The 25042-nt window shown below is 36.7% G+C and overlaps 2 long non-coding RNA genes across 2 annotated transcripts in view, besides 2 other annotated features; one reads left to right on the forward strand and one right to left on the reverse strand.

Moving 5' to 3' along the window:
• CXXC4-AS1 (CXXC4 antisense RNA 1) overlaps positions 1-25042 on the forward strand; it is a 206628-nt gene that overhangs the window by 90163 nt on the left and 91423 nt on the right. The window lies entirely within an intron of this gene.
• The window catches only part of LOC124900745 (uncharacterized), a 141925-nt gene that overhangs the window by 67113 nt on the left and 49770 nt on the right, over positions 1-25042 (reverse strand). The window lies entirely within an intron of this gene.
• Positions 10311-10892: an enhancer, noted in NCBI's record as "OCT4-NANOG hESC enhancer chr4:105512595-105513176 (GRCh37/hg19 assembly coordinates)". NCBI's record gives its function as "activates a minimal SCP1, AML or CMV promoter by ChIP-STARR-seq in primed H9 embryonic stem cells {active_cell/tissue: H9 hESC(primed)}" and the evidence as "EXISTENCE:reporter gene assay evidence [ECO:0000049][PMID:30033119]".
• Positions 10650-10709: an enhancer, noted in NCBI's record as "active region_21766". NCBI's record gives its function as "activates an Ori minimal core promoter by ATAC-STARR-seq in GM12878 lymphoblastoid cells {active_cell/tissue: GM12878}" and the evidence as "EXISTENCE:reporter gene assay evidence [ECO:0000049][PMID:35858748]".

The raw sequence follows: 25042 nt of genomic DNA on the forward strand, positions 1-25042 counted from the left end.
AGGATCATAATCAGCCAATGCATTCACTCATCATTATTCTATATTTTATAGTATGGCTCTGGTGAACAAGTATATGCTGCTGCCTATTTACTCTTAAAAAGACCTTCAATTTTCAGCCGGGCACGGTGGCTCACGCCTGTAATCCCAGACTTTGGGAGGCCAAGGAGGGTGTTTCACGAGGTCAGGAGATCAAGACCATCCCGGCCAATATGATGAAACCCCCATCTCTACTAAAATAAAAAAAAAAAAAAATTAGCCGGGCTTGGTGGCATGCGCCTGTAGTCCCAGCTACTCAGGAGGCTGAGGCAGGGGAATTGCTTAAACCCAGGAGATAGAGATTGCAGTGAGCCAAGATCGTGCCATTGCACTCCAGCCTGGCAACAGAGTGAGACTCCGTCTCAAAAAATAAAAAAATAAAACTTCAATTTTCATGTAGAAATTCTAATTTGAATAAATGGAAAATTAAGGCTCATGGGGAAAGTTACTGAGAGGTGACAGCGTGCTGGCAGTCCTCACAGCCCTCGCGCGCTCTCGGCGCCTCCTCTGACTGGGCTCCCACTTTGGCCCACCGCTGCACTGTGGGATCCCCTTTCTGGGCTGGCCAAGGCCAGAGCCCGCTCCCTCATTTGCAGGGAGGTGTGGAGGGAGAGGCGCGAGCGGGAACCGGGCTGCCCCCGCTGCACTGTGGGATCCCCTTTCTGGGCTGGCCAAGGCCAGAGCCCGCTCCCTCATTTGCAGGGAGGTGTGGAGGGAGAGGCGCGAGCGGGAACCGGGCTGCCCCCGCTGCACTGTGGGATCCCCTTTCTGGGCTGGCCAAGGCCAGAGCCCGCTCCCTCATTTGCAGGGAGGTGTGGAGGGAGAGGCGCGAGCGGGAACCGGGCTGCCCGCGGCACTTGCGGGCCAGCTGGAGTTCCGGGTGGGTGTGGACTTGGCGGGCCCTGCACTCGGAGCAGCCGGCCGGCCCTGCCGCCCCGGGCAATGAGGGGCTTAGCACCCGGCCCAGCGGCTGCAGAGGGTGTAGTGGGTCCCCCAGCAGTGCAGCCCACCGGCGCTGCGCTCGATTTCTCGCTGGGCCTTAGCTGCCTTCCCGTGGGGCAGGGCTCGGGACCTGCAGCCCGCCATGCCTGAACCTCCCACCCCCTCCTTGGGCTCCTGTGCAGCCACAGCCTCCTGGACGAGCGCCACCCCCTGCTCCACGGCGCCCAGTCCCATCAACAACCCAAGGGCTGAGGAGTGCGGGCGCACGGCGCGGGACTGGCAGGCAGCTCCATCTGCAGCCCCGGTGCGGGATTCACTGGGTGAAGCCAGCTGGGCTCCTGAGTCTGGTTGGGGACGTGAAGAACCTTTGTGTCTAGCTCAGGGATTGTAACTACACCAATCGGCACTCTGTATCTAGCTCAAGGTTTGTAAACACACCAATCAGCACCCTGTGTCTAGCTCAGGGTTTGTGAATGCACCAATGGACACTCTGTAACTAGCTACTCTGGTGGGGCCTTGGAGAACCTTTGTGTCTAGCTCAGGGATTGTAAATGCACCAATCAGCACCCTGTCAAAACAGACCACTCGACTCTACCAATCAGCAGGATGTGGGTGGGGACAGATAAGAGAATAAAAGCAGGCTGCCCCAGCCAGCAGTGGCAACCTGCTTGGATCCCCTTCCACAGTGTGGAAGCTTTGTTCTTTCGCTCTTTGCAATAAATCTTGCTACTGCTCACTCTTTGGGTCCACACTGCTTTTATGAGCTATAACACTCACCGCAAAGGTCTGCAGCTTCACTCCTGAGCCAGTGAGACTACGAACCCACCAGAAGGAAGAAACTCCAAACACATCCGAACATCAGAAGGAACAAACTCCAGATGCGCCACCTTAAGAGCTGTAACACTCACCGCGAGGGTCCCCAGCTTCGTTTTTGAAGTCAGTGAGACCAAGAACCCACCAATTCTGGACACATTACCATTTAACTTTCTTCTCATTGTCATAATATTGGAACTGCGCCTAGATTCTCAAAATGTTCATCTTGTCTGCAATCACTTCAACAGAAGCTTATATTAAATATCAGGTCATGCCTCATAAATACCCCCAAATTTTGAGAACAAAAAGCACTGTATCTTTCTATTGTCACAGAACTTCCTCCAGCCTTGATCTGAGAACCCCAATTAGGCTATTCAATAGGTTGGCTATATTGGGAAAGGTAATTGTAAGAATAAAATATTCTTAAAATAAGAAGAATAAAATATTCAAGAATAAATTTATCAAAAGTTGTTTCAAACTTCTACACTTAATACAAATTTGCTGAAAGAAAGTAAAGACAATTGAAACAAAAGGAGAAATATACTAGATTTATGGGCTGAAAGATAATATTTTTAAGATGTCAATTCTCCTCAAATGTATCAATATATTTAATGCAATTCCAACCAAAATTCCAGAAGGCATGACAAGCTGATTCAAATAGTATAGTGCTAAAATGTGATGTAGTGTAGAGTAGTGGTTAATATTCAGATTCTAGACTCAGATGCTTGGCTCTACCATTTTCTATCTGTATGTATGACCTTTATCCAAATAAAGTTTTACTAGTCACTGATCTTAACTTCTGATATTTGCTTCTTCTGTATTTTGATGTCACCATACTTTGTAAATAACACTTTTGACTCTCTGTAAACTGATGTGTTGGTAGTTTTTCAAATGGGCCACCAACTATGGTCCAGTAACATAGACCCAATATCAAAACTTGACCCTCTCTGAAATTTTCTTTACCCATTTCTAAAGAGCCTACTTCGTAGAATTATGTCAAGGTTAGATGAGATAATGAAAGCTACTTAGCCTAGTCCCTGGCACATACTGAGGGCTCAACAAATATGAACTATCTAAAGGCAAAAAGAGGGATAATAGATGTCAGTGTGATGCAAACAGTGCTTTCATAGCTAACACAACATTATATCGTCTGAAATAATTAAACATGATCAGTTACTGGATCTCAGATATAGAAAAGGTCATCTATGCAAATCCAAAAACATAACTATATTGGGAGAAAGTAAGCTACTTAACCTATGACATATCAGTTAGGATTCAATCGGGCTAAGGGAATCACTATAACAAATAAGAAACAACGGATTTCTCATAGAAGTTATGCAGTTGTGGGAACTGATAATGACATCTATGAAAAACTGTTTTCTCTGTGTCTGGTGGTGGATCTGAATTCATGAAATGTAAGTAGGGCATACATATAGAGATAAAAAAGGTGGGCATGAAATGGGTGAAAGCAAAGGCAAATTGTAATCCACAAGAATAAACAGAAACCCACAAACTGGAAACTGCCTGCAGTTATCTCTCAATGCAACTAAACCTGACAACATGGATGACCTGCATTTAAAGCTGGCATACTTGACCTAAAAGCTTTATTTGTGCCTGGTCCATGACTCAGAGAAGCTGAAGGAGAACATCCAGCAAGAGTTCTGGAGCTTCAGACACAGCTGCTGCCTACTGTCAACAAAGTGAGTCTGTAAACTAGCAACAATGCATAAAAATCAATAGAGTTTTTTTCAATATTTTTCAGTAAGACCAATCTGAACTCCTGTGTTAATTTATGATCCTATTTATACTTTGAACATTAAATCTTGTGGTAAATATATAAGAATAAATGCTTCGTATGAGTTTGAGACATCAAGAACTATCATATTGATAAAAAATGCATAAAAGAGAAATTCACATTATTAAATGCTTATTAGGTATCAGGTATATTTCCTTACACATTTCACCTTATTATAATAATCCTCGCAATTGCATTGTAATTTTTTCTCTAATTTTGTAGTATTTTTATTTAAAAATTAGGTTCAGAGGTTAAATAATTTCCAAAGGACCCAGAATATATTGCAAAACTTAGATCTAAGCATGGGGGTTCCTGATGTTAAAGAGTACTTACTTTCTACTGTAGTATGCGAGAAACAATAAACATCACTATTCAAAATTTTAAAAATATATATATATTGAGAACTTTCTACAAGCTTGAACATGTTTGTGGCAAATATGCAGAAGCATTGATGATTAGATGGCTTGAAAATAACTCATTTTAAAAAGGCACTCCATCCAGAGAAGGGAAAGTTGAAAGGTAGGATGGTTTCCACATATCTGAACGTTTCTTACTTGTAGGATTGCATGGTTGTCAAAAAGATGATGATTATGTGATTGACAGAAAGACACCCATATGTACAGACAAATGATACACATTCCCTTAATGCAGTAAAAGATGCTTAATTTACTATTCACAGACAGCTATACAAGCCAGGCAACACTCCAGCACACCCAGTCAGAGATGTGAGCCATGTCCCCTAACCCTTCAAGTCTTCATGAAATCCCCTTGAGCTAATCTGAGTGAGGATTGTGTCACATCCTTCAACCTTGGTTTGTTATTCTCAAATATTTTATAACCTCCTGCTAATTCTAGCTCTTCTTGAAACTTTGGCTAGGTGTTTGACTTCTCAGTAGGTCCAAGATATTTGTAAAAACCACAGCACATGGCTGACTTGAATTTTTCCAGGCTCATCACATCCGTAGCTTACCTAGACTCTATGCTTGACCGTGATCCATTCTACAAGGAGAGCTTCCATTTTGAAAAATGGATGGATGAAACAGAGAAAATATTCTTAAACTCTGAAACTGAAGGTTTAATTTAGAGATAACAAGACATATGATAGTGAGACTTTTAAGAGATAGAATGAGAGCTATAGAATCTATATGACATGAGTCTTTTTAAATAGAATAGGTCCTTTCAGGTTTACTTTGTGATTTTAGACTTCTCATATTACCTCCAAAATTTTATTCATTTACTTATTTAATTATTCATTTAGAAGATGTTTATTGAATACCCACCATAACCCAAGTACTGGGCTAGATGTCAAAAAAAAAAAACAAAAAACAAAAAACGGGAGATTTGATCACGGAGATTTCAGGAAGAAAGTGTAACAACCTTTCCTGATTTACATTAGTAAAATCATACTTCTACAACTCATACTTCTACAACTGACATTATCATACTTCTACAACTGACTTTTTTTTCTATCAGAACAATTCTGTAAAATCTGTAATTTGATACGTTCTCTTTCTTTGCGACACTGGTTTCTCTACATAATTTTCATAAATTCATGTGTAAGTTCTTTGTATATTGGCTACAAATATTGATTCCATTTGGATCAAGTTTTGCCCACCATAATAGCAAATTATTCATAGAAAACACATTTTGAAAATTATAGAAAAGTTCCCATAATTTTTCTCAAAATATCTCAAACATTTTGATTTGCCATCAGCTACTAATGATATTTGAATTTTTTATTTTCTGGTTGAACAAAATGTAGCAGTGAGGTTTTATGAAATAATTATGATGCTTGTGCAGTAACAGAGGCATTTGTGACTATTTTATATCTTTTTTTTTACCTCTTTAATCATTTTCTTTCACCTTCCGGCATAGGTATAAGTATTAAACCAAATGCCTGCCATATGCTGCCTACTTTACAGATGCTGATTAACATTGCCCTCCTTGTTTCAATAGCTTTCTAGGAACTTTCCTAGGTCTACATTAAGGGTTAACTAGACCTATATGTATCCACCATTCATATGATTTCCTCTCACTATTCTAGTAGTATGTAAATTTCCTGCTTCAAATTTTCCCTATCAAACTTATAAAGACAAAAAGACAAATAGTTGCACAAGGTTTATGACAACAAAAACAACAAAAAAAAGCAGTCTCCCAATTCCCTAAAGGCAATTGATTTCAATTATTTTCACCCTTTTTTTGATATTTTCTTCCATATGCCTAAATATACATTCAGAAACCTCTTGAGTTTACAGTTTTAGCTATTATCTGTTGACTTGTTACTTTGGATGAAGAAAATGTATGTCGTTTATATTTACTCCAACTCCTTTCTATGTGCGACTGACACACACACACACATGCACTCACACCCATTTTCCTAACAATGGCCATATAATAATTTTTGGTAAGATTAACATTCACTTTCAGCATTATGAAAACTGTAAATAGCATCATAGTTTAGTTGTATAATATTCCATAATCATATTCACTGTCTCTTTGGTTTTAGTTGTTGTTGTTATTTAAATTTCTTTCTCTACTTACCGCTCTCCTGTTAAGGATTTCTGGTTTCCTGGACCCCATATAAGCCTTCTCCTCTGTTTACACACTTCTTTTGGTAAACACAGATTCTAGTGATTTCTTCAAAAAGAGTAAATGGGAGGCAAGTTTCTTAAGATCTTGCATGTCCAATGTTGTACACTTATATTTGATTAAAACTTTAACTGGGCTATAAAAATTCTATATGTCTTCTCAGAATGATTTTCCTCATAATTTTCAACGCATTTCTATTTTTTTCTAGTTACCAGAGTTAGTTTTGAGAAGTCTGATGCTGGTTTGATTCCCAATCCTTTTAATGAAATTTATTTTTTTTCCTCATAAAGTTTTAGAATCTTATTTTGGGGGCAAAGGATACCCTTTAGACTGAAAGGCACTATGAACAGAATAGTGCCTTTAAATCTGAAAACTCCTTAAATTCTGAAAAATGTTGGTAAATAATTTATTTGATCATTTTCTGCACTTCATTTTTTTCTGTGATCTCTTTAAAAATCTCTGATTTTTAAAAATATTAACCTCCTACAGTGACCTAATTTTATTAACTTTTTTGCTATTTTCTGTATCTTTGCTTATTGTGGGGTAGGTTTGCTCAAGCTTGTAATTTAATCCTTCAGATGAATTCTTCATCCCTCCTATATTTCCAAAAGCACTTGAAAGTACTTCTTTCTTTTTTATGTTCTTCTCTTCTTATTTCTAGGTTGCAGCAGCTTCACCATTTATATAAAGATATGAATTATAAAAGCTTTTTTTTAAAAAAAATTCTGCTCTCTGAATTTTTAAAATGTTTCTGCAAAGGTCTTTTATGCTTTGTTTATTTGTGCTCTACCTTCCATGTCCTGGCTTTTTTTTTTCTTCTTCATATATCTGGGGTCCTTGGTGGTCCATTCATGCTTAAACTGGGTGCTAAGATGCTGCTTGGATGCTCTGTGACCATGGGCTGTTTCTTTGCAGTGTGAGGTTTTCAGGCTGAACAATTTTGAGAGGACCCTAAAAGCTCAATACTCCTGGGACATTATCTACCAAACTTATGCTCTACTCTCCTACCTGGGAGATGCAGGCCTGACTGATGCTGTTCTTAAATTTGAATAGGGAAGGGGGCCAAGAGTCTTATCATTCAGAATTTAGATTTTTCACTTAATCTCAATTTTTGGCATAGCACTCTCCACCATCAGCTGTGTGTTTCTTTCGTATACATTCATGAGAGATTAAACCTTTGGTTTTATACCATTCTACGGAATATTATGTGATTTGGCTTCTAGAGATGGGAATGTAAAGTGTGTTATAACCCTTGTAACAGAAATACTGTCCACATAGGAGCAAGTATTTTCAAGCAAAATTACAACAGACTCAATCCACCAACTGTGAAGATAATTTTCATGAACAGTTCAGCATTGTTTACTTTCAAGTACTTACACCACAACATGCTAGAAAAGTTGCTAAATTAACATAAAATAATATCAGGAAATTTTGGGACTATAAAATGCAGGGGAGATCAAGTCACAAAAATGTCAGATTCTTGAAAAATTATCCTAAAAATTAGGATTATTCCCTTGTAATTCTGTTTTTATGATCTCTGTGTGTCTGCCTCATCTAGGTACTCAATTCCTATAACTTCAATGGTTTGAAAGATTCACACTTGGTTCCTTACTGCTAAATCCTTTTATATCTCCCTCCTAGATATTGTTTTTTTTTTAATCTCCAAGGCAATATCAACTCTTCCTCTCTCTCATTACGTCCGTCTTAATGAGGAAATGTTTCTGTGCTCTCTTTTGGTATTAGATTTACTAATATGCTTAAAGCAGAAAAAATCCACCAGTACTCACAACCAGAGGACAAAAATCTCTCTCCTCTTCGAGACAGGAGAATACTCAACCCAGGCCCACTGCAGCATCCTTTCCCAGCAAGGTTAGGTATATTTTATAATCACCTGAATTCTATTTCTTGGAATGTGTTCAATCAGAGGGGTGTGCAAATCTTAACCTATCTTTCTTCCTGAAGTCTCTCCTCTAGGATTAGGTTCCTGATGCAGTTAAATAATATATATCATGGCTTCTGGTATTCTTTCAGGCCATTTAAAGTGTTCTTTAAGAAAGGAATTCAAATGCTGCATGGAGATAAACAACTCATGAATGTATTACAGGGAACTGATTGGGAAATAGGAAGAGTGCTCTCTCTCCCTCTCTCTCTCTCTCTGTCTCTCTCACACACACACACAGCTGCCTTTAGCAGTTAAATTATGACAAAATGCACTTTAGTAGCTCCCAGTTGCCATGAGAGTGTAAAAGAAGACAAATGATCTCTAAGGTAAAAGGGTCCAAGTCAAATAAAATCTTACAGATTAAAGTCAACACATTTACATTCAAATGAAATGGTATCCAGGACTAGCTCTGAAAGTACAGGTGTTCCATACTCTCTATGACCAGCCTTAACCAAACAAACTGTATTCAGAGCATCACAGTTCAATACTTCCAGCCAAACTCTTATTTGGTTCTGCCAGTTACAGCTTTCGCTTACAATTGGGTAAGTAAATGTTTGAAATATCAAAGAAATTCACATAGAAAAGGCAAAGGGTATTTGAGAGAGGCACTTCTGTTTGTACCTAGGCTGGTGGGTGAGGGCTAGGAATCAGAGTTTATGCCTTTTCATGGAGTGACTTGAAAGAGAACTGAGGCCCTGACGCTAGATGCTTCATAGACGTTAGGGTCTGTGGTGGTTTTCTGTCAGCAGCACAAATATGAATAACTTATTATTCTGCACACTTATTTTTTTCTTTCTTCTTCTCTCACCTCTCATTCTTTCTCCCCGTCTTTTCCATCTATCTCTACTCAATGCCTCGTCTTCTGTGATAGAACCACAAGCACATAGTGAGAAAAGAACATGATTTAAAAAAGGAAAATCAGAAGAATCATTTAACCCCAGTGAGTCTAATTTCCACTATGTAAAATGAGGATAACCATGACATTATTTTAAGGTCTAGGTTGAGGATCAAATGTGATTATATTCGCCAACTCATCTTATACTAAACAGATGTTAGTTATTAATATTCTTTTGAGAGTCTGAAGGAAACAAGGATCCACAGACATAAGAATTGCAGTTACCAACCTGATCTCATTAAGGAACATAGATGTCTACATTTAAACACATTTTTTTAAGAATAATTTTTAAGTTGGATTCACTTCTAATTTATAGATAGAGTTTGGAAAATGTTTGGCCCAATAATATTAAATACTAACCAAATTTTGTTAGTATTTCCTATATTACTAATATAGGAATATAGTATAGTAATATAGTAATATTGGAAATATAGTAATATAGGTGATAGTAATATAGGAAATAACATGAAGATGAATTTTAATTACCAATTCTTTCCTTTAATTCATCAAAAAGATGTTAATTATAATAGCTACCACTTCTCAAGTGCTTACTGTGTTCCAAGCTCTGTTCTGATTTATGAGTATTATCTCATTAAATCATATAATAACTCTATGAGGTATCATCTCCACTTTACTGATAAAGAAACTGAAGAAAAGCAATAGAGCCAGGGTTAGAACAAAAGCATCAGATCCTGGAGTCTGGATTCATGATAAATAGACTAGAAGACCTCTCCATTTGACTGTGCATGATACACTGAGGTCATCGTTAATCAGAGAAAGTTGGATTAAAAGCACTCTTAAGAGAGGATCTAGTCTATCCTCCCCTCAAGTGGAGAAATTAAGGCCTTCTACAACATCCCTAAAGACTGTCACTCAGACTTTGCCGGGCTGACATGTTCAAAATTCAGCTGCCATTCTACTTGGTCAGCCTCAGCCATCTCTGGGTAGTATCAAAACAAGATATATAGGTTTCCTGGCAACTGAAACAGTAACCTTGGCCTAACAGCCCCAGTCCCCAAATTTTATTTCTCTCAATACGCAAATACATATCTTTCCTTCCTTTTGCAAATACCTTCCTCTTGCCTTTCACAAGATAAAAAAAAAAAAATTAAAGCTTGTTTCCTAAGGCCAAAAATAAGTTAGCTTCAGAATTGGATATTCTTCTATCATTTTCATTTTCTTAAATTTCTACCCCCTCCATTTCTTAAACAAGTGAAGGTTGCATGTGTTTTTAGAAAGTAAATTAAAATCATGTTCCTTTCTCTTTATCTTTTTGGAAAATGTGAGCATCCTCTTTAAGAAAGACTATTTGTGAAGCCAGGGTCAAAGGTCTTTATTCTAAGTTCAACTCTCAGCTGGAGAACCGAGATCCCACTTCTCTGGGCTACGCCAAGGCAGCAGAAGGTGAGTGACAATGAAGTCAAGCATCAAGGACAAGAGAGGCACCTTATTCCACATGCTGTTTTTCTCACAGGTAAAGTGAGAAATCAAATCCTCTGCTCTCCCTGCAGCACTGTCCTCTCTGAACATGACATTAACTTCCACAAAAGAACCTTGTGGTAAAGGGGGTGATTAGCTAGATAGGCCTTAACAGCTGGGCTCCAGGAGATTGAAGCGAGGTGGAGGAGGGGCACTCTGAGGCACTGGGTCTTGTAGTTCTATCAACAGCAGCAGCAGCAGCAGATGAAAAGCTCCTAGAGGTGGGGGCAGGGGAGAGCCCAGATTGTAAACATCTCTTGCCTGTTGCCTAGAAGCAGTGGCAGCAAACAATCCAAAGACTGCTCCTAGATTTTCAAAATTTCCTTTATATGCAGGGCTCTGCTTCTTTTTAAAATATGCGGCCATTTTATAAGGTCATGAGCACACATGCGACGGGTGCATATATCATAATAATTTCCTAGCCACCATGTGTAATTGCGTACATAAAGTGGTCAATTATTGCTTAACAAAACCTTGTTAATGTCAGTACATTAATTCCGAGGCTTTTATAAACCTTTTAATGACTACCTTGTATTAGGTACTCATATTTGTGAGAATCAACAAAAACAAAAAAAAGATGCTTCTTTGTTTGTGGGGAAAACTTGATAATTCCTGAATGATAGGTTTCTGAAATAAGCTATGATGAAGGACAGGAGTAATGTATTATAAATTGGTTGAAAATGTGATAACAGTAATGTTATAGGCTGTCTTGGCAGAAATGAACTGCAAATATCACACACACACACACACACACACACACGCATGGACAGAGCAAGAAAAGGGCAGGGTAGTAACAGTGGAAGATTTTAATTATCTTGCCATAGCACAGGATTACATCAAGTGGAGGAAGTGAGGCTGGATCTGGTGCAAAGCTGATTTCTAATTTAATGTGTACATCACCCGAAAAGGGAGGAAAGAATGCTAGGTTTAGAATTAAATAATATTTAGGGTTCAAAGGAGAGTATAGGAAGCCGTGATTAAATCTCATTAAGCATATGATTTAATCCCAAATAGAAGCTAGAGGTGTTTAGAGACAAGAAGGAAGTGTAGGAAGACAAAATAAAATACAGCATATAATCATTAATTCAGAAAAAGACAAGCCACTGAATTAAGTTCAGGGTAAATAGCAGGGAAGTGGTTTTTATAAACACGGTATCACCCAAAACACCATTCCCACTAATAAGTGATAAATTTGTTTAGCATTTTACAAGACCAAAGTAGAAAAGTAAAGCTTCTAGAAAGATGTAGCACAGAAAAGCCTCCCCCTTCCTTTATCAGGATCCACAATTTTTAAAGGAATAGAAAATCAAATCCTCAATACTTGAAAGGGAACTCTAAAAAGGACCCAGGGGAGAAAAAGAGGTACCGAAATTACCAAATTGGAGGGCAAACTTCTTTTATACTGTAAAAGCATACAACCTAGCCAGGCATCCATAGGGCCATTAAGCGGATGAGTGGGAAGGCAGGGACGGATGAGGCTGCAGTAGTCGAAAGCCTGAATGAATTCTCTGCCTGCGTATTTTCCAATGAAGCTGAAGGTCACGTCCCGGAAACTGGATACATTTTCTTGAGGGGAAAAGTGGAATGTTAAAAGGATTTTATGATCACACAAGAGTAGATAGTTGAGCAATTAGAACTATTAAAAGTTGACAGGGCACAAGACCCAGATTAAGTACGTCATAGAAATCTTAAAGAAGTGGAAAGGAAACAGGAAATGCCTTCAGCAGCATTTCTTGATAGCTTGTTCAGAAGGAGACTGAAGAATCAGGGCTGGTAGCTGTTCTAGGACTAGTTGTTTAAAAGAAATCTTTGGGATCTTTAGAAATCTAGCCAGCAATAATCTGAGTCATGGTTGAAAAGCAGATAGTGCTGACCATCAGACCATCATTTTGCTTTTATAGAAATACAGAATTTGGTGAACAGTTAACATAAGCTTGATAATTCAAAAATAATTGACATTTTCACAGAAATAGAGCATTTTTGAGCTATTCTGCACAGGTGAAAATGGAGTTCACTTACTGCTTCTAAATTTCTTACGTTATTTATTAGAGACAGTGCCTCTAGAATTTGTCTGCATTAAGTGAAATAGTGGAAGAGTAAACAAAAATAAAACGAAACTGCCCCTAAATGCAAGGGAATGTGTACTGTGAAATGGAAAGGAAAGATTTTTGGAAATTATTGTCCTGATGATTACTTTTATTATCACTGCCATCATCAAGCTGCAATTATGAAACACATACTGCATCCAACATGCTAGCAAGACAGAAGGCTGTTAGAGGAGTCACTCTCTCCTGTCTCAAGGTCTGGATTTCACACTGATTCAGCTCAGGCCTTTTCATCACTGTCTTACCAACTATCATGTCAGAACATCATTTTTAAAAACAAAAATTAAAAACACTCCACTTTCTGAGGATGCGCTTAGAATAAGCAACTGCTCCTTCCACCAACCTCTAGCTACATTTCTATGAACAAATAAAAACAATGTAAATAGTCACAAGATTGTGGAGTTAAAATCTAAGGGACAAACATTATTACTTAATGTTTTTTAACCACTTAGAAACTACAGTTTCTTTTCCTTTTGCCATTCCTCCCTCTCTATCTCCCTTCCTTCTTTGCTTCTTACAAATGTCTATTGAATTTCCTAGACCAAACTGTAAGATTTAACAATAAAAATATGCAAACACGTTATTACTGCCCTGAAGTAATCCCCAATCTAATGGCAATGACAACAATGTGATTGAGGCTAAAATAGTGTAAAGCCCAGGGTGTCCAGAACTACTGAAGGAAGTATATAACACAGCCATGGTCAAGTCAAGGAGTGAATGGGGCATAGAAGAAAACAGATGTTAACCAAGTGAAGAAGTGAGGACAGGTATTTCAAATAAAAGGAGTATACTTACCAGAGTTTAGAGGTGGAACAATGAAGTAAACTTCAAAATGACTTGACCAGATTATTTCTCTAATTTTTAATTTTTATACTCTTTTCTGCCAAACCCTACCACACTAACTGAACTGCATTTTCTTATATTTTCTTAAAAACAAAAGAGCAAAAGCAGGAAATGAAACACAGTGAATAAAAGCTGGGTGATTTAGAAAAAGGATATACTAAGAGTGTTCGTAAATTTCAGAAATATATGCATTTTTGTTTATGTTTTCAATTAATGACCCGGGGTGGGGGGAGTCATATAATGCAAAAGTGAAATTTCTGTTGCTTACAAAAAAAATAAGATAAAATAAATAAGGGTAGTGAAGAAAGGTGGCAACACTACATGACTGAATATATTAGGTTCTGTGGACCTGGAAAGAACATGTGTAGCTCATGCAGGAAAGTGGGAAATCATATTGCTAGGGCTAGCCATAATCATATTTCATAAAGATCACAGTATATAATATGAACCAGAGTACAAGCATAGAGATAATTATATGAAGCTCATCATGAAAATAATACTGTCTAATCTTTTTCTTATCAAGCCATGTCATTAGAAACCAGTGAAATTATTCTTGCAGATGTTCTAAAAATCACTCGAATCACCTCTATTTCTAAAGCTGTATTGCAACTCAAGACTTGAATGTGCATCCAATGTTCCTCTTCCTATGCCTACTGCAGAGTCCTAGCTGGGAAGCTGGTTCTGCTGGCTTTCACTTTCTTCTTTACTTACCTTCTTCACCTGAATCCACGAGTCACTGTACTAACTCATGTTCCTCAGTCTCAGTGAACATCACCAAGCAGTACTCCCAGAAAATGGAAAACGCATCTTTAGTATCCCCAGCTATTTTTTTTTAACCTCCTCCACATTTTTGCTTAATATTTCTCTATTTTCCCTGCTACAGTGCATCAAACTCTGATATTTGGGGGAAATACCTCTAATAATAATTTATGCATAGTATGTGGTGTGGCAAATTTACCTGAGTTATTTGCTATTATGCTGTCACTAATTATAGGAGAAAAATCTTTAGTCCTCAGAGAGAGGAATTTTAGAAACACTGGGGCAGAGGAGACAGATCTGCCTAAAGAAAAGGTGCGAACAAGGAAGGGGATGCTATGAAGTCTATAGGGACTCTGTAATATATTAGAAATACTGAACATCTGGTACCTGATTGGCCACAATGCTGGAGTACAGACTGCGGCACGCTGGCCACTGTTTACATTTTAGTTGCTGGATCACAGGATGTCCACAGTTGTAAATAATAATACATAAAAGTGACATTTCATCTACCTGATTCTGCAAGTAGGCTCTCTACTGAAAGGAAAAGTTCTTTTTGTATCCCACCTATAATTATTTCTATACTTAACCTATGTAATTGCACAGCCAGAAGTTGGTTATACCAAAATACTAAATTTTATTAAATGATATTTATTGAATGATTCATTGATTGACCATTTGCAAGTAAAATAAGATCTAAGTGTTGCTTACATTCTCAGAGGCAATAGAAGAATATAGTTATCAATTGAGCAATACATATATGTAATTAGTAACAGAGCTGATTTCAGCAAATTAGAGTTCTGGGCCAAGAACTGCCTTTGACTTGCTATCTGACCTTTGGCAAATCAATTAAGATTCATGTCTATCGGCTTTCCACACCTCTAAAAATAGAAATAAGAATTTCTTCTTCTCCAACAATTGCTCAAATGTAAGAGATAAACATTAAAAATAACTTCGAGATAAGTACTATATAAATAGTATTACTTTAAATCAGTGATACATATACCAGAGCCCTATAAACTCTTGTGAGACACATGAAAATTTCTGGAAACAATACGGTAGTCTCTCCTTATCCACAGTTTCACTTTCTATAGTTTCAGTTACTTGTGGTCAACCTTGGTCTGAAAACATTACGAGATATTTTGAGAGAGACGCTATTCACATAACTTTGATTGCACTATGTTGTTATAATTGTTCTAGTTTATTATTAATTATTGTTAATCTCTTAATGTGCCTAATTTATAAATTAGTTTATCATAGGTATGTATGTATAGGAAAAACATACGGTTAGATATTATCCTCAGTTTCAGGGATCACCTGGGGGGTCTTGAAACATGTCCCCTGCAGATGGGGTAGCGCACTACTGTACTCTAATAAATTAATTAAAAAGAGTCTTTCTTGGAATGAATGAAGTCTAAATCCAAACTACTAAAGTGAAAATATTTGAGATATTGATACAAATTTTGGCATGGTTTCTAAAATAAAAGATCCTAGTATGAGAGAAAAGTTGTCACTTATTGTCAACATCTCTGTTATCTCTCCCTTGTTTGCAACCCTGGCTGTCACTGCTGCTGCTAAGGCCAAATCCAGAGTGATGCCTCACTATATGTATACTGGTTTCTTCAAAATATAGTTTTCAAAATATAGTTTTTCATCAAGCATATAATCGTTCCGCGATCTCTTTCCAATTTCATGTACACTTTCTTTCTACATAGAGATACTGGATATTTAACTATAGTTTTGTCAAGCAACAATAATTTATTTTTAGAAATTGAACAATATTTATATATCACATAAAGGAAGTGATTTGTTCAAAGGTTAAATCTAGGTAAATAAAAAATTATTTATATATATTTCAAAACTATTTTTTCAAATTTTCAAAATTGTTTTCAAAACAGTATTTTAAAAAATATATAAATTGTTCATAATTTTTAGCATCTGGCTATAGATAGATAGTCTATCTTCAACTTATAGTTCCAAATGTCAATTGTTATGAAAACTCTGAGACTGAGGAAAAATAAGCTCCAATTTCTAGTAGAAAAATAAATCAGCAATTTTTTTTTTTAAATTGCTAGGAATAGTCTAGAAGAGATGAAAAAAATGGTCTGGAGTTGATTTTAAGCCTTTTAATGTGAGTGAAAATTGATTTTAGGTCCATTCACACACACACACACATAAAGATTTGTGTTGTGTGTTATACTATGTTAAACCTGATTTTAATTTGTATGTGATATTGTTGTTAGAACAGCTTTGGAATTAAATATACACCGCTGATGTAGTATAGTTAAATCTGTATAGAATATATAGTGAACTGTATTTAGATTTAACATCTATGAGTACTTTGAGCAAGACTCCATAGGACTCACTTTGTAAACTCTAAATCTAAAGTTACATCACATTTTTCAGACTACGTAACATTTTTGTCTTTTTAGATGTCTGAAGTATTTAAAAATATACCTTCACATGAGAAGTTTAATTTTCACATATGTCCAGTCTCAGAAAGACCCCAGATTAATAAAGGAAGGTTAAGGAGGGGTCTAAGAGGTAATGTTTTAGTCCCTTCAGCTGCTATAACAAAATACCATATGGGAGGCCCAGGCAGGAGTATTGCTTGAAACTAAGAGTTTGAGATCAGCCTGGGCAACATAAGGAGATCCTGTCTCTACAAAAATAAAAAATTAAAACAATTAGCCAGGTGTGTTGGTGCATGCCTGTAGTCCTAGTTATTCAGGAGGCTGAGGTAGGAGGATTGCTTGAGCCCTGGAGTTTAAGGTTACGGTGAGCTTAACCCATTAATTTTGCAGATAAAAATGCTGAAGTTCAAAGAGACTTAATTAAATTAATAAATTACCCTTGGTCACTCATTTAGTCCCTAACAGTCAGTATTATGACAAAGTTTTCTGATGTTGTGACCATTTAAGGTCATAGTTTATACAAAACAGCCACATAGTGTTTACTTCTTTTTCTGAAATTCTTTGCTTTGCATCATTTGAAATTGTAAAGGTAACTTTAATTTTAAAGGACGTGTTTTATCCCTTTAAAACTTAAAAATATCTTTTTTAATAAATGTGGCTTCCTTTAAAGCAATTTAAGGCACTCATGGTTGTAAAAATATATATTATATATAAAGCTATGTCTGTAAAAAGGTTTTGATCTTGTGTTCTCATTCCATTTTGTTGATTTGTTGAATTTTCAGGGGCACTTTAAAGATTTTATGCCTTAGCATGCCTGTGCGTAAATTCATGTCTGACAATTGTACATATAAATGGTTCCAAAATATCTTAGTGTTACACATAGCCATACATATACCATTATAACGGTATATTTAGCTTGTTAAGAAATGATATTGATTATGATAATGTATTTTAGTTTATGTTTTATATGAGCAGTAATTTAAAAAGTTTATCACATTTAGGAAGCAATGGGGCATAGTGGGAGGGAAGAGCTTTGGAGTCTTAAACACGTGGGGAATCAATCCCCCATCAGCATCTGACTGACAATCAAATTGTTCAGCCTTTCTGAGACTCAGTTTCCTTATCCGAAAGTTGAATTTAAACCTACCTAGAGGTATTAGAAATCTTATGTAAAGCACCCATATTATTGAAGGTCACAAAAGACATTTGTAATAAAGCTTATTTTTTAATACAAAGCTAATTTTTAAATTTTAAAATATTTAACTGACAAATGAAAATTGTATATATTCAAGGGGTATAACATTATGATTTTATATAGATATATATTGTGTCATGATTACCACAGTCAAATTAACACATCCATCACCGCCCATCATTACTTGGTGATATGGTTTGGCTCTGTGTCCCCACTCAAATCCCATCTCGCATGGTAATCCTCACATGTTGAGAGAGGGACGTGTAATCCCCATGTGTCGAGGGAGGTAGGTGCAGTTTCCCCCATGCTGTTCTCATGACAGTGAGTGAGTCTCATGAGATCTGACGGGTTTATAAGTGTTTGACAGTTCCTGCTTCACACACTCACACTCTCTTCTGCCACCTTGTGAAGACAGTGCCTGCTTCCCCTTCTGCCATGATTGCAAGTTTCCTGAGGCCTCCCCAGCCATGCAGAACTGTGAATCAATTAAACCTCCTTTGTTTCTACATTACCCACTCTTGGGTACTATCTTTATAGCAGTGTGAAAACAGACTAATACATTTGGTGTGTGTGTGTGTGTTTGTGTGTGTGTGTGTGTGTGTGTGTGTGTAGTAAGGATACTTAAAATCTGCTCTTTTCTAAAATTTGAAGTAAACATATTACAATATTATTAACTCTAGTTACCATATGGTACATTAGATCCCCAGAACTTACACGTCTTATAACTGAAAGGTTGTAGTATTTGACTAACATCTCCCCATTACCCACTTCCACACACCCAGATGCTGGAAACCAACACTTTACTGTTTCTATGAGTTTGACTTTTTTAGATTCTACGTATGAATGACATCATACAGTGTTTTTCTTTCTGTGTGTAGATTATTTAACTTAGGATAGTGTCCTACAGGTTCATCAGTGCTATTGCAAATGGCAAGATTTCCTTATTTTTATGATTGAATAATATTTCAAGGTATGTATATACCACATTTTCTTTACACATTCAACCACTGATAGACACTTAGGTTGTTTCTATATCTTGGCTACTGTGAATAGTGCTGCAATAAATATGGGGGTGAAGATAATTTTCCAGATACCAATTTCATTTCCTATGGTTGTACAGTGTACACAGAAGTGGGATTGATGAATCATACTATAGTTCTATGTTGATTTTTTTTGAGGAAACTCCATACTGTTTTACATAATGTCTATACCAATTCACATTCCCATCAACAGTACACTAGAATTTTCTCTACATCCTCACCAACACTGATCTCTTATCTTTTTTATAATAGTCATCCTAACAGATATGAGATATCTCGTTGTTTCAATGTGCATGTCCTGATGATTAGTGATCTTGAGTACCTTTCCATTTAGCCACAGCCATTTTTATGTCTTTGAAGAAATGTCTATTCAGATCCTTTGCCCATTTTTTGTTTTGTTTTGTTTTTGTTTTTTGTTTTTTGAGACTGAGTCTTGCTCTGTCACCCAGGCCTGAGGGCAGAGATGTGATCCCAGCTCACTGCAACCTCTGCCTCCCAGGGTTATGTGATTCTCCTGCCTCAGCCTCCTGAGTAGCTGGGATTACAGGTATGTGCCACCATGCCCGTCTAATTTTCATATTTTTAGTAGAGGCAGGGTTTCACCATTTTGGCCAGGCTGGTCTTGAACTCCTGACCTCAAGTGATGCACCTGCCTCGGCCTCCCAAAGTGCTTGGATTACAGGTGTGAACCACTGTGTCTGGCCCCTTTGCCAATTTTTAAGTTGGATTATTATTATTTTTTGCTACTGAGTTGTGTAGTTCTTTAAATATTTTGGATATTAACCTTTACCCCATATACAGCTTGTAAATATTTTCTTCCATTCCATAAGCTGTCTCTTTGTTGATTGATTCCTTTGCTGTGCAGTAGCTTTTTAGTTTGATGTAATCGCATTTGTCTCTTTTTGCTTTTCTTGCCATGGTTTGGGGATTATAGCAAAAAAAAAATTGTCAAAACTAATGTCAAAATGCTTTTACTCTATGTCTTCTTTTAGAATTTTTATGATTTCAGATTTTACACTTAATCATTTAATTCATTTTGAGTGAATTTTTCTATATGGTATAAGACAAACATTTTATTCTTTTTCATATTCAGTTGCAATGAATATTCAGTTTTCCCAGCACCATTTATTGAAGAGACAATCACTTCCCCATTGTGTATTCTTGGCACTCTTGTCAAAGATTAGTTGACTATATATACATAGGCTTATTTATGGGATCTCTTTTCTGTTCCATTGGTCTATGTGTCAGTTTTTATGCCATTACTATACTGTTTTGATTACTATTGTTGTAACATATAATTTAATATCAAGGAGTGTGATACCTTAAGTGTTGTTATTTTTTTTCAAGATTGCTTTGGCTATTTGGGATCTTTTGTGATGTTATATACATTTTAGAATTTTTTTTGTATTTATATCAAAATTTTGATAGGAATTGAACTTCATCAGTAGATCGCTTTTGGCAGCATGGACTTTTTAACAATAGTAATTATTTTAGTGCATGAACACAGATTTCTTTCCATTTGTTTATATCTTCTTCTTCAATTGTTTCATCAATACTCTATAAATTTTAGTGTACAGATCTTTAACATCCTTGGTTAGCTTACTTCCTAAGCAATTTATTCTTTCGATGCTATTATAAACATGATGGTTTTCTTAACTTCTTTTTTGGATAGTTCATTGTTATTATGTAGAAACACTGCAGATTTTTGTATCTTGATTTCAGATCCTGTAACGTTACTGGATTTGTTCATTAGTTCTAATCATTTCATTCCTTAGGGCTTTCTGCATACAAGATTATGTCATCTGCAAACAGAAATAATTTAACCTCTTCCTTTCCTATTTGATACCTTTTATTTTTTCTCTTATCTAATTGTCCTGGCTAGGACTTCCAGTACTATGTTGAGCAGAAATGTCAATAGTTGGTACTCTTTTCCTTCCTTCCTTCCTTCCCTTTGTTTCTCTTTCTCTCTTTCTTTCTTTTCCTTCCTTCCTCCCTCCCTCCCTCCTTTTCTTTCTCTTTCTTTCTTTTCTTTTTTCTCTTCTTTTTCTTTATTTCTTCCTTTCTTTCTTTTCTTTCTTTCTTTTCTTTCTTCTTTTGTCTTTTTCTTTTCTTTTCTTTCTTCTCTCCTCTCCTCTCCTCTCCTTTCCTTTCCTTTCCTTCCTCCTCTCCTCTCCTCTCCTCTCCTCCTTTCCTTTTCTTTTCTATTCTTTTCTCTTCTTATAGGCAGGGTCTCACTCTGTCACCCAGGCTGGAGTGCAGTGGCAAAATCATAGCTCACTGCAACCTTAACTCCTGGGCTCATGTGATATTCCTACCTCAGCCTTCCAAGTATATGAGACTATGGGCATTTGCCACCACACCCAGATAATTTTTAATATTTTTTTTTGTAGAGATATTGTCTCACTATGTTGCCCAGCCTGGGCTCAAACTCCTGGCCTCAAGCAATCCTTCTGCCTTGAGTTCCCAAATTGCTGGGATTACAGCCATGAGCCAATGTGCACAGCCAAAAAATTATACTCTCATCTTTTTCCTGATCTTAGAGGAAAAGCTTTCAACTATTCACTCTTGAGTATTTTAGATGTGGGCTTGTGTTATAGGGCCTTTACTGTGTTGAGATACATTCCCTCTATACCTAATTTGTTGAGAAGCTTCTTTTTAATCTTGAAAGGATATTGAACTTTGTTGAACATTTTATCTTTTACTGAGATAATCATATGGTTTTGGCCTTTCGTTCTGTTAATGTGGAGAATGACATTTTTGGATTTCCATATGTTGAACCATGCTTACATCCCAGGAATAAATCCCACTTGATTATGGGGTATATACTCCTTTTAATGTGGCACTGGATTAGATTTGCTAGTATTTTGTTGAGGATTGTTGCATCAATGTTCATCAGGGATATTGGTCTCTAATTTTTTTTCTTGCGGTGTCCTTATCTGTCTTTGGTGTAAGGATAATGCTGGTCCCATGAAAGGAGTTTGAAGGTGTTACCTCCACTTCAAATTTTTGGAAGAGTTTGAAAAGGATTGACATTAATTCTTCTTTAAATTTTTAGTATAATTCACTCATGAATTATACTTCTGGTCCTGAGCTTTTCATTGATGAAAGACTTTTTATTATTGATTTGACTTCCTGACTTGTTACTGGTCTTTTCTTATTTTCTATGTCATTGTGATTCAGCCTACGTAAATTGTATGTTTCTAGGAATTTGTATCTTTTTTCTAGGTTATCCACTTTTTCAGCATAGAATTCTTCATAGTAATCTCATGATCATTTGTATTTCTTTGGTATCAATTGTAATGTCTTCTTTAGTTTACAATTTTATTTATTTGAGTTCCCTCTCTATTTTTGTTAGTCTAGCTAAAGGTTTGTCCATTTTGATAACTTTTTCAAAAAAATGAACTCTTCAATTTATTGATCTTTCTACTGCCTTTCTATTCTCTGTAAAATTTATTACTACTGAGATTTTTTATTTTCTTCCTTCTGCTGACTTTGGGCTTAGTTTGTTCTTCTTTTTCTAATTCCTTCAAGTGTGAAGTTAGATTATTTGAGATCTTTCACTTTTTTGTTGTTTTTTTTGTGTGTGTCCAGTTTGATCATTTAAGTTGTAATTTTTTTACATTTCAATATTTTGGGGGGAACAGGTGGTGTTTGGTAAGATCTACCTTTTTCTTAATGGAAGCATTTATCACTATAAACTTACTCTTCAGAACTATTTTTTTGCTGCATCCCATAAGTTTTGGTATGTTGCATTTTCATTTTCATTTGCCTCAATATACTTTTAAATTTTCCTTTTGATATCTTCTTTTACTCATTCATTTTTCACGAGTGTGTTTTTACCTTTCCACCTATTTGCAAATTTTCCAAAATTCCTCCTGGTATTGATTGCTAGTTTTATACCACTGTTTTCAGAAAAGATACTCGATATGATTTTTGTCTTATTAAATATGTTAAGACTTGTGGCATGATATATGATCTATCCTGGAGAATGTTCTGTGTGCACTTGAGAAGAATGTGTATTCTGCTGCTGTTGGATGGAATGTTCTTTGTGTGTCTGTTAGGTCAATTTGGTTTGTAGTATTAGTTAAGATTACTGCTTCTTTGGCCAGGTGCGGTGGTTCACACCTGTAATCCCAGCACTTTGGGAGGCCAAGGTGTGCGGATCACGAGGTCAGGAGATCGAGACCATCCTGGCTAACACGGTGAAACCCCGACTCTACTAAAAATACAAAAAAATTAGCCAGGCGTGGTGGCAGGCACCTGTAGTCCCAGCTACTCGGGAGGCTGAGGCAGGAGAATGGCATGAACCTGGGAGACGGAGGCTGCAGTGAGCCAAGATCATGCCACTGCATTCCAGCCTGAATGATGGAGCGAGACTCTGTCTCAAAAAAAAAAAAAAAAGAATACTGCTTCTTTATTGATTTTCTTTTTGGATGATCTATCCATTGTTGAAGGTAAGATATTGAAGTCCCTTACTATTATTGTATTATGGCCTATTTCTCTCTTCAGATCTATTAATATTAATATTTGCTTTACATATTTAAGGTACTCCAATGTTAGGTGAATATATATATACATATATATGTGTGTGTGTATATATACATATATATATATGTGTGTGTATATATATACACACATATATGTGTATATATATATATATACATATATATATATATATATACACCCCTTGTAGCATTTCTTATAAGTTAGGTCTCATCAAAATGAACTCCTCAGCTTTTATTTGTCTGAGAATGTGTTTATTTCTCCTTCATTTCTGAAGGACATTTTTGCCAAGTATAGCATTCTTGGTTGGTAGGATTTCTTCTATTAGCCCTTTGAATATATCATCCCACTGTACTCTCAGCTTGCTGTTTCTTCTGGGAAGTCTGTTAGTGCCTTATGGGAGTTTCATTATATGTGATTAATCTATTTTTCCTTGCTTCTTTCAAGATTCTCTCTTTGTCTTTGACTTTTGGCAATTTGATTATAATGTGTCTCTGATTGTTTTTCTTTGGGTTGATCTTGTTTGGGGAGATTAATGAATCTGGATTTCTATATATCTTTACAAGGTTTTAAATTTTTTCATTAAGTATTTAGTTTCTTGCCACTTTCTCTCTTTTCTTCCTGGAACTTCCATAATCTATATATTCATGTGCTTTATATTGTCCCATAGGCTTCTTATGTTCTTTTCACTCTTTTAATTCTATTTTTCATTCCTTTAACCTGTCTTCAACTTCGTTAATTTTTTCTTCTGCATGATCAAGTCTGCTACTGGAGGTCTCTATTGAATTTTTCAGTCTTATCATTGTATTCTTCTGTTATAAGATTTCTGGTTGGTTCTTTTTTATGGGTTTTTTTAAATTAAACTTTTCTTTTTGCTCATGCATTATTTTCCCAATTTTGTTTAGCTGTTTATGTTTTTGTTGTGCCTCATTAAGCTTCTTTAAGATAATACTTTTGAGTTATTTTATAGGCAATTGGTAGATAATCATTTCTTTGGGGTCACTGATTTGAGCTTTATTAGTTTCGTTTAGTAGTGTCATGTTTGCCTAATTCTTCATTATCCACATAGCCCTGCTTGGTGTCTGTGCATTGGAAGGAGCAAACACCTCTTACTGACTTTACAGACTAGTTTCAGTATGTAACACCTTCTTCTGTTGGGTCCCCGGGCTTAGGATTGCCTCTAGGATAGTGGTCACATGGAGTTGGAGCTAGGTCATCTAGCTGCTGCTCTGTCTGTCATGAAGACCACAGTTTGAAAGCCTGTTGACAAGGACTCAAGTAGACATTGATCCTATCTGGTCCACAGGTGGACTAGACTGACTCCAGAACCTTGGTCAGTAGAGCTACCACTAGGAGAAATGTTCATTTCATGGTCCTGTTACTAGGTTCACATAGATAGATATGGCTTCCTCCAGGTCCCTGGGAAGGCTCCCACTGGGTCAATGGTGGGTCCTAGATCAGGCAGTACCTACCCTGGACCATGGTTGAGACAGGCTAGAACTGAGTCACAGGGCTGCTTCAAGGTTCACAGCCAATATCAATGTTGCCTTGCCTTCTTGTGGGGACATGGATGGGGATATCTCCTGGTGGGTCCCTGGATAGGCAAAACTGCTCTCAGACAACAGATACAAAGGGTTGGAGCTGAGTTACAGGGATATTTTAGGGTTGATAGTAGAGACTAAGGTTACTGGGTCT

Source organism: Homo sapiens, chromosome 4 (genome assembly GCF_000001405.40).
Source record: "Homo sapiens chromosome 4, GRCh38.p14 Primary Assembly".
NCBI classification, from domain to species: Eukaryota; Metazoa; Chordata; class Mammalia; order Primates; family Hominidae; genus Homo; species Homo sapiens.